Genomic DNA, 15,832 nt, shown 5'->3' with positions numbered 1-15,832 from the left:
AATAATTGTGTGTTTACATAGGTTTTAAAAATATATTATTCTATAAGATTCTATTTCCTTTTGCTATAGATTATTTCAAACTGCATTTTGATTTCTTCTAATTGCCTTTTTCTCCACGTGTGTGTATTTTTAAAAAAACTGTTTTGAATATTCCAGATTCTGATTATCTTGGTGGAATCTTGGAAAAGCTAAGCAGCTTCACTCTTAATAAACAGACCTTGATCAGCAACAAGTAGTGCAGAGGGAGCTCCTTACAACTCGACCAGTGAACCCAATTTGAGAACTGAAGGAGAAATCAATATCTATGCAGATCAGGTATTGCTAAGAGAGTGCTGGTATTAGAGCTGAAAAGGTGACCTTGTTATCTTTGAGAAAATTAATGAATATCAACCTACCTATGGTTTATCAAGAAAATTTTCCTGGATTAATTATTTTCTTGCTAATTTTAGTCAAATAAAATTCTTTCTGAAATTTCTTTCATCCATGAATATTTTTTACCAGAGATAGCTGAAATTAATTATGACTTACTCAGCTTCTAGACATTGCTTATCCTTACTAATTATCTCAAATATAACTAGCTTGAAAAGGTTACGTGCTAAAACTCAATTTTTCAATATAAGCTAGTTATTAAAACATCTTTTTGTCTCTATTTTCTCAGAAAAATGAAAAAATTAACTTATCTTCAAATTGGAAACATTTTCATATTGCAAATAAATATGAAAAAAGGGAATGACTTCAGATACTACCAAATCAAAATGATTAGACAAGATTCTCTATGCCAAATAGATGCTCGATAATGTATATGTTAACACAAATAAACAATGCTTACTCTTTCAGCGAGGCTTAACTTTAGATAGTTTTGTTTTCTCAAGACATAAACAATTTAAAAAATAAAATAGGTGATTAGCTGTTGGCATATTTGCAATGAAAAATAAAGTAAACCCATTTCGTTACTGTCTATCTTATGCTTGAAATAAAGCATACTAAGCCTGATAATTTCATAGAAAAATCCACGTATTAATAAAATATGCATTCATAAAACTACACATAATTTTGCTCCAAATATTGCTAAAATTAATGCATTTATATTTTTATAAGAGTTTTTAAAAGTTTTCTTATGATTCTATACTATCTTGGATATTGTGCCTCTCTATTTTAAACCAATTTATGATGTATGAACACGAAGCAATCAAGATTGTTTTGGAGAGGTTGTTAAAGAGGTTGGACTTGATTTCAGGTAGGACATCTGGGATTTGGAAGGATACCAAGATGATCCACACCTCAGCTTTAAAGTAATTATTCATTTTAACTGACCTCATGTTAGACATCCCCTGGATAAGGTAACATTTTGCTGATTTACTGATTTATAATCTATTATCTACTTTCAATTTTGTAAGAAATAGTTTCAACTCTGAAGGAAAATATAAGTGTCTTTTTCACAACAAAGCCTCCCTGAATCAGTATGGATACTATGTATGACCTTTGTACATGTTTACTTCAGAACTTGCAATGCTTTTTAACCCTTGACAAACAACTGTATTCCATGTATGGTTTAAGAAAATCAAATTTGCAAGCACTATAAGATATATTAGGACAATGAATATAACACAAAAAAAGCCACATCTTCATTCTCCCTCATCAATTTCAGGTCTATCCTTTAGGATACATTTAGAAAATCCAGTACTAGTTTTGCTGCCCTGATTGATGTCTTCATAGGTAGTTTTCTGCATGTAATCTGAAAATATTTCCTACACAACATGAGGATCAAGTGTGAGAGAATGTTAGAGCAAATCAAATTGAGCAATACATTTTGACTGACAAATAAAATAAACCATCTTTTGAATACCTTGGCATTTGTGATCATATGCAGGGTTTTTTACCTGTCCAGGTAAAAAACCTGGACAGGTTTTTTTTTTACAGGGTTTTTTTTAGCTGTCCAGCAAACCATTGCTATACATTTTTTTTAACTACCACGCTCCTATTATTTAAAATAATCACAATAGAATTAGCACTCAATTAAATATTATGCTTCTGCACAAAGCTTTTACTCCACTTTACAGTTTAATTTTGCATACAATTAATAACCATAATTAGTTCCACAGGGAAGACATCCTATGGGGACTGTTTCTTCCTGGGATGAGTAGAATGGAAGCCCTATGCATAATTCAGTTCGTGGAGAAGAGCAAAGGCTGGACTCATGGTCCCAATTTGGAGGTGAAGCATGGTGACAAACGTCAATGGGAAGCATACACATTGCAAAGTGGCTTCTCTCAGGTAATCTTAGCATTTAGAAACAAGAACAGAGTCTCTGAAAGTCAGAAAACTAGGAGTCCTTGGTTATCAGCTTCTCTAAACTAGGCTGCAAAATTAACTTCTTAAATACTAGGTTTTCATTTTAGCCTCTCGTGTTTTACATTTTCAAATGCACATTTATCAAATTCTTACCTGGCATTTATTATGATCTTGGCAGTGTTTTAAATACTTTAAGATTATAAATTCAATTATACCCATAAGAACTCTAAGAAGCAGATAATATGTTATTCTCATTTCAGAGAAAAAAAACTGTCAGGAGGAAGTTATGAAGGTCACACAGCTAGTAAATAGCAGAGCTGGGATTTCAGAATCTATGATTTTAACCCCTGTATGTGCTGCCTCTGTGATTAAATCACATTTCTCTTAGGATTAATATAAAAATAGCTGACATGGTGGGTTTTATGACCTAGAGTGATCTTGTCTCTGCCAACAACTTCATATTCATCTCACACTGCACCTTCCATTAATTTCTAAATGCTGGTTGGTTTCTCAGTTTCACAAATCTCTCATGTTCCTTCCCTCCTTGTAGAAGAGTCCATGCTGTTTCTTCTTTTCATTGTATTCTTCTCGAGCCTCTTTAAAATTACTTACCTTTCAAATCTAAAATAAACAGTTATTTCTACAGAATAGCCGCTAAAGCCCTACCCCAATCCCTATCCTAATTAAGATTTATTTATTTTCATTTACATGAATGGTTTCTTTAATAGTCAAAAATCTCAGTTGGTAATCATGCATTTATTATGATTTGTGCATAATTAGATTCAAGTGTCTCCCAACAGAATACAGTCTTTATGAAAGCAACAATTATTTGCCTGTCTACTAATATGTTCCAATATACCAGCCATATTAAAAGAAATTGATTGATGTTTAATAGTGGCAAGGCACTGAATATTTTTCCAGGAGATATTATAGTTTATTGGGTAGAAAACACTTGAGTACAAATACTTTTTTACAACCATTTATTCAATGAAAAAAGCAATAATATTATTTAATCTTCTTGTGTGACATTCTATGTCAAAACCATTCATTTATCAAATTTTAAGTCTTTATTACCATTTGTACAATCCTTTAATATAAATATAGAAGTCCTATTAAAATTTTTTTTCTGGCAAGCATTAGAGGACTTATATTATCATTTAAAATTATACCTGCAGTTACAGAAAATAAAACGTATCTACATGAGAAATTTTTCAGTGAAATGAAAGCATTTCTACTTCTTAATGTTTGGTATTTATGTTTGGAAAGTTTTTAGTGAAGTATACTGCCCCTTTAGAAATAAAAATGTAAATAAGCATACAAAATAGTACCTACATATATTTAAGATCTGACTTTGACTTGCTAATTTTGACATTTTTAGTTAATCTCGTACCTCCCAAATTGCAAATTCTGAAAGTTGTACATGCCAATTTCTTTTTTTCGCCATTTTCATAGTGTGAATTTATACTGGGCTCACACCTAGCTAGAATACAGATGATATACTCCAGTTATTTGTGTTCGTTTTGCAGCCAGGTATGGGTATATTCTGGCAAAGAATATAGGCGGAATTAATGTGTACAATTTCCTGGTTGTTTCCTTAGAAGGTGGGTCTATGTCATTTATTTTCTCTTTTCACCTCTCAGCGTCTGCTGTAAACACCGGGTCGTGAGTTGTCTGTGAGTGTATGAATGAAAACATTCCATAGAGATTGTGTGGCCATAATACACAAGGAGCTGGACTCCAGGTAACTTTTTGAAATAGCATGCCTGACAAGCTCCAACTTTTACATGACAGAGAAATAATTTTTCTTTTTAAAAATTTGTTTTTCAATTTTTTTAATGTTATGGGTTCATAATAGTTGTATATATGTATAAAGTATACATGATGTTTTTAGACAGGCCTACAATGTGTAATAATCAAATCTACCTGCCATTTTTTAAGCCACTCTTACTTTATGTCTCTTGCACTTATCTGATGTCTTAGTCTAACTAAACTATTTCCCACTGGGAATAGTTTGTAAGTTTACAGGAAGAGGTTTGCAAGTCAGCAATAAAAATGCATATGCACATTTCATATATATGTCATGTAATATACATCAAATATTTCCCTTGAAGTAACTAAGATGATTCCAAGCTTAGATTTAATGAAATCTTTATTTTCTCAGTCACTGATATACCTGATAATTTGTCACTAGATCACTAAATTTGCTATTTTGCTTATATAAATTTTTATCAGGATTTTATTTAACGTGTCTTATTAAATACTTTATACTTATAGAGTCTTGGAGTTTCCTAATCCATCAGTTTGATTCAATAAATCAATAAAATTCCAATTCTGGCCAATAAATTTCACCTGTCCTCCAATACTTTTAATTACGTTTGGAATATATACTGTGAAATGCCTTTTTTTTGACAATGGATAAAAGTTTTGGATGTGCTTCCACAGAAAGAGAAGGAGTCTGATCTGTGTGAATTTAATTCCACTTTCCCTCAAAGCATTATCTAATACCTCATTTAGTACTGGATATCTCAGTCTTTTCCTTTATAAAACAATGTCATGCAAGGATTTCTTGGCATAACTTCCCAAAAGGGAGATGATGTTCCTCAAGGCATTTATGAAACTGTAAAATGCAATTAAATAATATTTTGATTTTTTATGGATATAAGAGAGATATGCAATTCTCCAAAATTTACGAATTAGAATAAAAGGATTTATTTTCAATGTTGAATTATAAAATAATTCATGGCAAATAAGACAAAAAATATTGAAAGATAATAGTTAAAAACTGCAATTCTGGCCGGGCATGCTGGCTCACCCCTGTAATCCCAGCACTTTGGGAGGCTGAGGCAGGCAGATCACCTGATGTCAGAAGTTGGAGATCAGCCTGGCCAACATGGTGAAACCCTGTCTCTACTAAAAATACAAAAATTAGCCAGGCGTGGTGGCGCATGCCTGTAATTCCCAGCTACTTGGGAGTCTGAGGCAGGAAAATCACTTGAATCCGGAAGCTGGAGGTTTCAGTGAGTTGAGATCATGCCATTGCACTCTAGCCTGGGTAACAGAACAAGACTCCATCTCAAAAAACAAACAAACAAACAAACAAAACCCCTGCAATTCCTACACAACACAATATTTCATTAAACGTATTAAGTTTATTAAAAAATAAATGTTTAAAAAATTGACTAAAAGTTACATGGAAAAGCATCAACTGCCAACCTGGGCTTCAGAGCAGGATCCTGTCTCAAAAAAATAAAAATTAAAAAAAAGAAGAAGAAAAGGAGTCACCATTGATGACAAGGTTTGAGGATAGCAGAGCCTCAGAAAAATTATTGCAGGTTGTGAAAGGAAAATATCTTGGGCCCCCAAGATCACTAAGGAAAACTCCAGCTGGAAATTGCTTAGGGCAGACCTGCCTCCCATTCTATTCAAAGCCACTCCTCTGCTCACTGAGATAGATGGATATCTGATTTGTCTGCTTTGGAAAGGCTAATAAGAAACTCAAAAGAACTATTTATGTATCACCTATCTGTGACCTGGAAGCTCTCTCCCCATTTTGAGTCTTCTTTCCTGCCTTTGCATCAAGTTGTCTCACCTTTCCAGACCGAACCAATGTACTTCTTGTATATATTGATTGATGTCTTATGTCTTCCTAAATGTATAAAACCATCTGTGCCCTCACGACCTTGGGCACATGTCATCAGGACATCCTGGGGGTGTGTTGTGGGCGTGTCCTCAACCTAGGCAAAATAAGCTTTTTAAATTAACTGAGACCTGTCTCAAATTTTTGGGGTTCGCAAGGCGTATCAACAAATTTATCAACAAAGGAATGTGGTAGAATTGCTGTGATCTCCAAAGTATGTGTATAAAGATAAATCTAAGACTATTAAGGCAGCAGATTGGTTGAGATATTTTCAGTATCTCATTTTCCAAAATGCACTCTTTCCTAGAGGAGTAATGTCTGAAGAGAGTTTTTCAGTTCTGCTTTTCTACCTCTTTCACAATCATCCATTTTTCTCCACAAACACACAAAACATTTCAATTATTAACAACATAATGCATTTCTGGATCCTTCTAGGATGACAAAGAGTCAATTTGATTCTAAAATATATCCCCCATAGAGGCTAAGCAAGAAATATTAAAGGGGACAGTAATTGATTACATAAAAATGACAAAATCATGGCAAGTCTTCATGCTTTAGCTAGTTGATAGTTATATTAGAGTCAAATTTCAAAAGTAATGTGTTTGTCATGAGGGCATGTATTAATGTTTCTATTCAAATTGAAAAATGATGTAAGACACTTTCTGACAGAAAGTAGGCCTGATGTAGCTGATTGGTTTGACTATGGAGTCTGGCCTTGCCAATTCGTTTACATAACAGACATTTTACATACATGAAACAAGAAAAATATGCTGCTCTGAAGTTTTAATGAAATCTTATTTAAATTTCATTAAAGAATTTATATGATATACAATATGGCAAAAATTACATCTTTGCAATTTAATAAAAGTATAAAAATTTCATATGTCAACTTAAAGGTGTGTTAGGGAGTTTATTCATGGGACTATGAAAGGAAGAAAGAACGAAGAAAATTGGTTTTTATGGATTGCTCTTTTGCCATTTTTATGTGAGTGATGATGAATTAATAGTAGTACCTGTTTTCACACATTATGATTTATTCCCAGAGAACTCAGCTGCTTGAGTGCAAGCAGAGAAACAACAGAAGAGTATGTTCACCTAGGTGTTTTGTTGCTGTTGTCATTGTTGTTTTTAATCACAGAAGACAATGAAATGAGGAGAAAGACTATTGAGTTGTTAGGGTATTAAGGAGGTTAGGGTATTTAATTAGAAAGACCGAATAGATAGATGAAATGTGAAATCAAGTGGACGGATTTCTGATGTTATTACATAATGTTTCTGCTTAGGAAAGAAGAAAGTGATTGAAGAGCTCATTTTAACCCTTAAAAGTACTATTTATATTGGGGCTTTCTAGGAAAAGGTAAAGTTGCTGAGAACATGGTTAATCCATATAGTGATGTCATACTTTAATGTAATCATTATGGAATCTGTGATCTGCAGTCATTATTAATACACAGGAATCCTCTCAAATTGTGTCTCAGTTTTTGGCTTGGGAAAATTTTACCCAGCTTATGTTCTTTCTGGGTAAGAGTTTAATTTCCTGTGTTGAATTTTGTCAATTTTAGTACCTATATATATAATATATAATATATATATTAAAAACTATTTTAAAAGTGCAAAAGATTTATACAACAAAGACATGGAATCAATCTAAGTGCCCATCAACAGTGGATTGATTAAGGAAACTGTGGTATATATATATCAAGATGTCATAACATTTTTTCTGTGGAAAATAATATAGTCATAAAAGACCATGTGTTGTATATTTCAATTTTTATAAAAGGTCCAGAATAGGAAAATCTACTGAAATAGAAAGTAGAATCGTAGTTGCCAAGGACTGAAGGAGTCAGTGAGTTGGGGAAAAGAGATATTGGGCCCCAGCTAGTAGGTATAGGATCTCTTCTTAGGAAGATGAAAATTATCTAACCTAATGTGTAGTGATGATTTCACAATTTTGTAAATGTCATGATGCCACATTAAATTGTAACCTTTTATTTGATACACTGCCAAACATTATCTGAAATAAGCACTTGCATTTAGTATTTGAAATATTGCTCCCTTTTGATTCTAAGGCACCTCTTAAGCAATACAGTTTTTGTATCAAGTTTCCACAATTGGCCAATGTAATTTTAAATTATAGCATTTAAAATATCAGTCTACCAATATGAGTTATAGCATAAATACATTTATGAAGTAGTAGTAAGTCCCAGAGGGAACACTGTCTAAAATTTGGACTAAAATAAACCCACTGAAATTGTTGCTAAAATAGTTGCTATGACTTCATGTTTTGGGACCCTCAGCCTAATGTCTGGACTGTGACCAACTAATTTGTTCACCCAACTATTTTGCACTTTTTGTTAGAAAGTATTGTTAAGGGATCTCTCTCAGATTCAAATGTTCACAGACAAAACAAGAAAACACTGTGGAAACTCCTTAGAAAGTTTTGATAAGTGACCTGAGGTAAAGTTGGACTAAAGAATGCTAGTATAAGGAACGCTCTGAATTTTTTATTCACCAGGTTTGGCTTGAAGAGTGGGCTTACTGGGGTCTATGTCTATCTTCTTTCTTGAGTACTTTCCTATTAAAAGACATGTAACAAAAAGGGGCAGGCGGGAGAGAGAGACAAATAACAGTGTTCTTAACACAAAGAAAAGAACGGAAGTTTTCACATCTGATCAGATGATCAAAGGGTCTCTAGGAAAGGTTTTTTTAACACAAGGATAGGAAATTAAATTGGTATTTGAGGAGCTTTGATGCAAAGAAATTAACATTCAGACACAATCTAATTAATTACCGATAATTATCATGTTCTGAGAGACACTCAAGCTACATGCCCAAGGACTTGCAGAAGCAAGTGCTGTTTCTGAATGGAAAGCATTGTGACATAGAGAGGAAAACAGCTTAATTTTGTTCTCCTTGGACCTCCAAAATTGTCAAATTCTGGCTTCCCAATAGTAATACTTAAACAGCTTTATAAGGTTTTAAATTTTTTTAAATTTTCTTTTTTTGAGACAGAATCTTGCTCTGTAGCCCAGGCTGGAGTGCAGTGTCGCAGTCTCAACTCACTGCAACCTGCGTCTCTTGGGTTCAAGTGATTCTCCTGCCTCAGTCACCCGAGTAGCTGGACTACAGGCTCCTGCCACCATGCTCTGCTAATCCTTGTATTTTTACTAGTGGCAGGGTTTCACCATGTTAGCCAGGCTGGTCTCGAGCTCCTGACCTCAGGTGATCTGCCTGCCTTGGCCTCCCAAAATGCTAGGATTACAGGCATAAGCCACCATATCTGGCCTTCCATAAGGTTTTTAATGGTCTTGGAGGATTAATTATTTGATACTGTCTATAGAAAGTTGAACATTTTGACTTACTTAAAATGGGATTATGAGACTGGAACAGAAAACCAAACACCGCATGTTCTCACTCATAAGTGGGAGTTGAACAATAAGAACACAGAGACAGGGAGGGGAACATCACACACAGGAGCCTGTCGGAGGGTCGAGGGCAAGGGGAGTGAGAGCATTAGGACAAATACCTAATGCATGTGGGGTTTAAAACCTAGATGATGGGTTGATAGGTGCAGCAAACCACCAGGGCACATGTGTACCTATGTAACAAACTGCACGTTCAGCACATGTATCCCAGAACTTAAAGTAAAATAAAAATAAATAAATGAAGAAAAACAATGGGCAATACAATGAGCAACTTTTATCTACCTTAGCAAGAATTTACTGGAAAAGTTCGGTCAAAGTCATAAATCACATCAATGAAGATAGTAGAGTGGTATTTGTAAAGACAGCTAGCTAGTATAATTATGTTAGTTGCCAGCTGGGTGCAGTACATACTTTTTGTTCAGTGATAAAAAGAGAGAAAAAAGTTTGGAAATGAAAGCCACAAAAGAGAAACAGACTGTAATAAATATATGGACACCTCTTAAAAGACACCATCAAGCAATATGAAAACAAAATCTCTTGAATAAATCTAACAAAACATCCACTAAACCACTGGATCCTTGAGACCAGTCATTCTTTATTGTCAATTTTTTTAACTTACTGTATTTAGCACATATACACACATACATATATTATAAACACATTTTAGCAAATAAAACTTAGTTTACTTCCTGGGGATGTGATTTGGACCTGGTGATAAGAGTAAAATGCAGAAGCAGAGGTTAATGAAAGATTGTCCATACAAATTGTTATGAGGCAAACGCCATAAAATCTTACTGATTAACTGGATGACAAAAACTACAAGCTGAGCTTCAGATGCCCACCTCAGAAAATGTCTCAAAGTACATTATGGAATCTCTTAAGAATGTCTGTTTATAAAATAAGAATAATAAATCCTTTATCTTATGGTGTTAGGATTTCACTATTGTTTTAAAATGTGTCAACAGCATAATATTACAGGTTATATGCGAATGATTATGCTATCCATAAGATTGGATGCATCACAAAGCTAAATAGAGCTACAAATGGCATAAAAATTTTCATCAACCCAGGTCTGAAAGTAATTCACACTTTTAACCTTGGAATCCCCCAACCAATAGTTGTCCAAAACTGTCTCATGTTTGGATTTTCCTGTCTTTTTCCTTCACTTCTCCTTTTCATGTGTGTGTAAGAAAACTCATTCATTTCACATCACAAGTAGATTAAGCTGAGCGAGTGGCATCAAAAACATGGAAAAAGGTGAAGTGAAGGGATGTTATACAAACAAAGCATTCAAAGCAGATCTGCAAATATATGACAGCTGTCACAGCATAGCACTGACGCATCAGTGAGAGGTCAAGAACTGTCTTCAAGGCAGAAGTCAGAAAAGCAACCACTAAAAAGGAGATCCATTTCCATAAAAATGGGGGTGCGGTGGAGTGGGGTGGGGTGGGTAGGGCAACAGTGTGATAGTAAATCTGGGGAATAGGCATTTGAAGCTAATAAAATGTCATAGTCACATTAAAACTGCAAAGATAAGCATTATATAATACAAGTGACTCTAAAACATATAGTGAGATTGTATATGAAGCAAAAAATTATATTTAAATTATCTCTTCATTCTTGAGCAAAGTAGTTCCATTATCTCTAATACAGCAAACTCTAAAATGCATTTTCTGCCTCATTGCAATTCACAGCAAATGGCCCAGATCAACATTCTGAAATTGTAAGTAGTTTCTTTAGCCTTCTAATAGGACTTAGCTGTATGACTTCAGTATCCAGATTTCTGCCTCAGTGAGCAATAGCTCAGAGTTAAAATATTAAGTAGACTAAATATTAAACACATAGTTTCTCCAAGGACATATATAACAACACATGGTACTTTAGGAAAGGAAAAAAAGCACAAGAAAGATTGCCTGCTGGGTCATCAATTTCACTATTTTGACCTCTCTAACCCAAAGGGTTGATTTAAATGGTTTAGCTCATTTTTTTATCATATATAAATAATAATCTGGTAGATTGTTCTGATCTTCATAGGGTAATATGAAAAAATATAATCCTTTCTTTCTCCATTTCTTCCAGCTGTGCTATAAGTACCTGCAGTTTTCAAATGCAGTCAGACATACATTGGAAGGGCTAGGAAGTTAAGACACAGTCTCTAGGCTTGGCTCTGCCAGCTCTACAGAAGTGCACGGAATATAACCATGAAGAAGCCTGGGGCTTTGGCATCAGTGAGACTGGGATTAACATTTAGGAAAGTAACTTAACCTTTTGGAGGCTCACTGATCTCATCTATTGAATGAGATCAATACACCTGTTTGATTTTTTTTCTGTAGAATTTAATTCTAGATAATTTGAGGAGTCTAATAAAGTGTTTGGGACAGGAGAAAAGGCAGGTATTATTCATTGTCATCAACGTTACTGGACAGGTCAGAGAATAAGGAAGTAATAGTAATATAAATCTCAGTTAAGGAATTAGTAAAAATTTGATTCATAACTTCTTTACATGAAGTATCCAAGAGCCCAAATGAAATAAAAACACTCTAAGAAAATTATTTAAAAAGTGACTCTAAAGGCAGATGTTAAAACAAAGTGAAGAAATACAAATAGATAAATGAGAAAAATAGTTACAGGGAAGGAAAAGCCTTAATAGATTAAAGGTAATGTTTAAGAAGGTATAGGATATCAGCACATATTGCATCTAGAAATAATCTATCTTTTATTTTGGCAATTTATGAACATGCTTTTTATCCTAAAACCTGAGTATTATAATTGTATTCAGCAACAATACAGGTATAAACCTTACCCATTCTTCAGTGCTGCCTCCTCCAGGAACGTCTTTCAAATTCCCTGAAAATGAATTTATAAAGACATTTGCTTATACCTTGCTTAGGACACCTCTCTCTACCTCAGATAGGAACAGTGTGCACACTGTTCCCTCATACTGGTCTGCAAATCCTGCATGGGGGAACAAGTCAAACCAGATTCAACTTAGTTCCTCTATGTGGCCTCTCGTGAAGACATATGTGGCTTCACAATGGGCAACAATTGGACTTGTTCATGAATCCTTTTGCTCTTTTTCTATGGCCTGTGTTACCATCCTACACTCACTCCCTTCTTATGTGCTCCCCTTTGGTATTTTTATCATTTTCTCCTGCTTTTGTATCTTGGTCATAGCCACCCTGAGGGAAATGCTAGAAGTACTCCCACTCCAAAATGGCCCCAGCCTACTTAATGGAAATTGGCCAATCTCTCCTCCAGATATTTAATTCATTCTTACTTCATTATATGACTGCATTATAGGACTCAGTTTCAGCTGCAATATTTTCTCTATGTGTATAATAAATGAATTTAACAAAAGTAAGTTTTCCTGAAGGAGTTAATAGGTATATTTTGAAAACAGCAACTTGATTTTCCTGAGTGGTATATTCTACATGCCGTTTCATTTGTGATTTCAGCTATTCTATTATCTAAACAAACTATGCAAGACCCAGAAACAAGTTATTTGAAATACAATACATATAGTGTTTTGGAACCCTGAACTATTATAGAAAGTCATCATCCATGCCATGGTTCAACATCATAGGAAAGGAATACTTAAAAAGAAACAATTACTTTAAAGATCATGTAAAATAAGTGTTTTGAATAATAAACTACTCTCATTACACAATCTTAACTTATATTATAATTATTATTATTTACATGTTAATTTTTAAAGCTTTATTAATGGAAATTTAATATATTAATACTTCATATATTCATATGATATGTCACGATGTTTAGATTATTTTAGTGCAAGTATTAAGTTTATGAAAAACAAATGTCCTTATTACATGTTTTATTTTACATATATATTTGACTAATCAAACCTATACGACCTACTCACTCAAAATATAATGATGTTGATTATTAGTCTCTCTTTTGTTTTAACCAAATAACAATAGACTATACTATTATTGAAGATAATGAAAAATGATATCTTTGTCTTAGATTTGCCATCATTTGTTTTCCAGCTACTTGCTTCTGGTAAAAATGAATTTAAATATCATGGAAACACCACTGAATTCCAGAAAATTGCATAATCATCTCTAATAATATGTTTCTATTGACATCATCTGAGTGTCATTACACAAAAACACTTCAGTTAGCACAATAAACCAACTGAAAACTTTAAAATATTTTATTTAATGTGAAGAGTTATGTGTGTAAACAGTATAATTAAGAACAATCAGATGAAGGTGGCAAGGAGCCACATACTAAGTCTACAAAAGTAGGAGAATAGAAATACAGCATCCATGGATGTAAAGTTCATGATCTAATGTAATCCTTGTAAAAGGAATGTATTTGAATTAATGTAATTCTTATAATAGGAACATGTTTGAACTTAATTTTAGTTGTGCATCTTAGAGAGTTCAGAGAACTATTAATGTTTGCCTAAATTAACTATGTGAATTCATCTTAAGGGTTTTATTTAATCAAAAACGCTTTCATTTTCTGTTGTTTTAAGGAACTTAGAAAACTATCAGATATCTGGAAGTGAAGTAAAGCTTATGAAGAAAAAAGCAGTGTGGAACTGCAGTGATTTAAAAGAAACAAGATGGGACCCATACACTCAGCATTAAAACATATAAATCTGTAATTATTCTAGTGAATTTGATAAACAACTTCATTTCTAGTATGTTACACTCACAAAGCTGTAATTGAATTGAACTAAAATTGTTCAAGAGCTAAATATTCAAGGTGAACACTAGGTTCTCTGTTACGTGATGGATCTTGTCAGTGTTAAAAAGATGTCTATCGAAAAACCAAACTTGGCACACCTTGTGAATTTTTAAAGAATATTTTAATACACCTGTTTCATTTTTAACAGTTTTCTCCATCCCAACTCTATGTCTCTCTTCATCTCTTTCAATATCACTGAGTTTAGTACTGAAGAATGTGTCTATAAAACAGCCGCAATAGGATCTTGCTTTGGTCAGACACTCAAACTTGCCGTTAAACAGATGCTGGAAGGCCACAGTCTATAAAGACATGCCACTCCACAATGAGTCTCTGAGAAAACTAATGAGCCCACACAACTTCAATGTACTCCTTAGCCCATAAGTTGTAAAACAGCTTTTTAAAAGTTAAAGCCTGGCCGGGCGCGGTAGCTCACGCCTGTAATCCCAGCACTTTGGGAGAACGGGGCGGGTGGATCACAAGGTCAGGAGATCGAGACCATCCTGGCTAACAAGGGGAAACCCCGTCTCTACTAAAAATACAAAAAAATTAGCCGGGCGTGGTGGCGGGCACCTGTAGTCCCAGCTACTAGGGAGGCTGAGGCAGGAGAATGGTGTGAACCCGGGAGTTTGAGCTTGCAGTGAGCCGAGATCGCGCCACTGCACTCCAGCCTGGGTGACAGAGTGAGACTCCATCTCAAAAGAAAAAAAAAAAAAATGTTAATGCCCTTTTCAGTTACCTTTCTTTTTTACTAATAAAAATATATTATTAAATTTTAATTCTCAGCATCAAGATTGATTGATACTATGAACAGATACATGAATGACATTTTCTGAAAGATAAGATTACATATATACATATCTATTCCTATCACTGTAACACTGATTTGTAAATTTAAACATTGCTCTTTTCCGCTGGGAGAGGTGGCTCACGCCTGAATCCCAGCACTTTGGGAGGCCGAGGCAGGCGGATCATCTGAGGTCAGGAGTTCGAGACCGGCTGGGCCAACATGGCAAAACCCCCGTTTTTATTAAAAATACAAAAATGAGTCGGGCATGGTGGGGCGTGCCTGTAATCCCAGCTACTCAGGAGGCTGTCAGGAGAATTGCTTGAATCCGGGAGGCGGAGGTTGCAGTGAGCCAAGATCGCGCCACTGCACTCCAGCCTGGGCAACAGAGACTCAGTCTCAAAAAAAAAAAAAAAAAAAAAAGAAAAGAAAAAAAATTGCTCTTTTCCTTTGTTAGAGTTACAGCTTTCCTAAATGTATTATGCTGGGTCACATTATCATAATCACAGTAACCAAGAAATTGACTAATAATTTAAGTATCTACTGGCTGGGAGTGGTGGCTCATGCCTATAATCGCAGCACTTTGAGAGGCCATGGCAGACGGATCACCTGAGGTCAGGAGTTCAAGACTAACCTAGCCAACATGGTGGGCCCCATCTCTGCCAAAAATACAAAAATTAGCCGGGCATGGTGGCGGGTGCCAGTAATCCCAGCTACTCAGGAAGCTGAGGCAGGAGAATCGCTTGAGTCCGGGAGGCAGAGGTTGCTGTGAGCTGAGATCGCGCCATTGCACTCCAGCCAGTTGACAAGAGCAAAACTCTGTCAAAAAAAAAAAAAAATGCCATAAATAAATAATAAAATAAAATAAAATCTATGACTTGGTAATTCAGTAGATTTGTATGTGTGATCTTTTGTATCTTGACTAAAAGGAGGTGAGTGTTAAGATTCAGAGATATCATTCCTTTTGACTCTTGT

General features: G+C 34.6%; 1 long non-coding RNA gene across 1 annotated transcript in view; it reads left to right on the top strand.

Moving 5' to 3' along the window:
* LINC00375 (long intergenic non-protein coding RNA 375) overlaps positions 1 to 13,990 on the top strand; it is an 82,971-nt gene extending 68,981 nt beyond the window's left edge. Inside the window, exons 2-6 of the long non-coding RNA NR_126383.1 lie at positions 157 to 315; positions 2,095 to 2,274; positions 3,933 to 4,033; positions 11,049 to 11,077; positions 13,859 to 13,990. This is a non-coding gene — a long non-coding RNA (long intergenic non-protein coding RNA 375). The remainder of the gene's footprint in view (positions 1 to 156; positions 316 to 2,094; positions 2,275 to 3,932; positions 4,034 to 11,048; positions 11,078 to 13,858) is intronic.
* The last annotated feature ends 1,842 nt before the right edge of the window (positions 13,991 to 15,832 follow it).

Source organism: Homo sapiens, chromosome 13 (assembly GCF_000001405.40).
Source record: "Homo sapiens chromosome 13, GRCh38.p14 Primary Assembly".
In the NCBI taxonomy this organism is placed as follows: domain Eukaryota; kingdom Metazoa; phylum Chordata; class Mammalia; order Primates; family Hominidae; genus Homo; species Homo sapiens.
The sequence above is the reverse complement of the archived record's forward strand: the minus strand, read 5'-3'. Positions and strand labels throughout refer to the sequence as shown.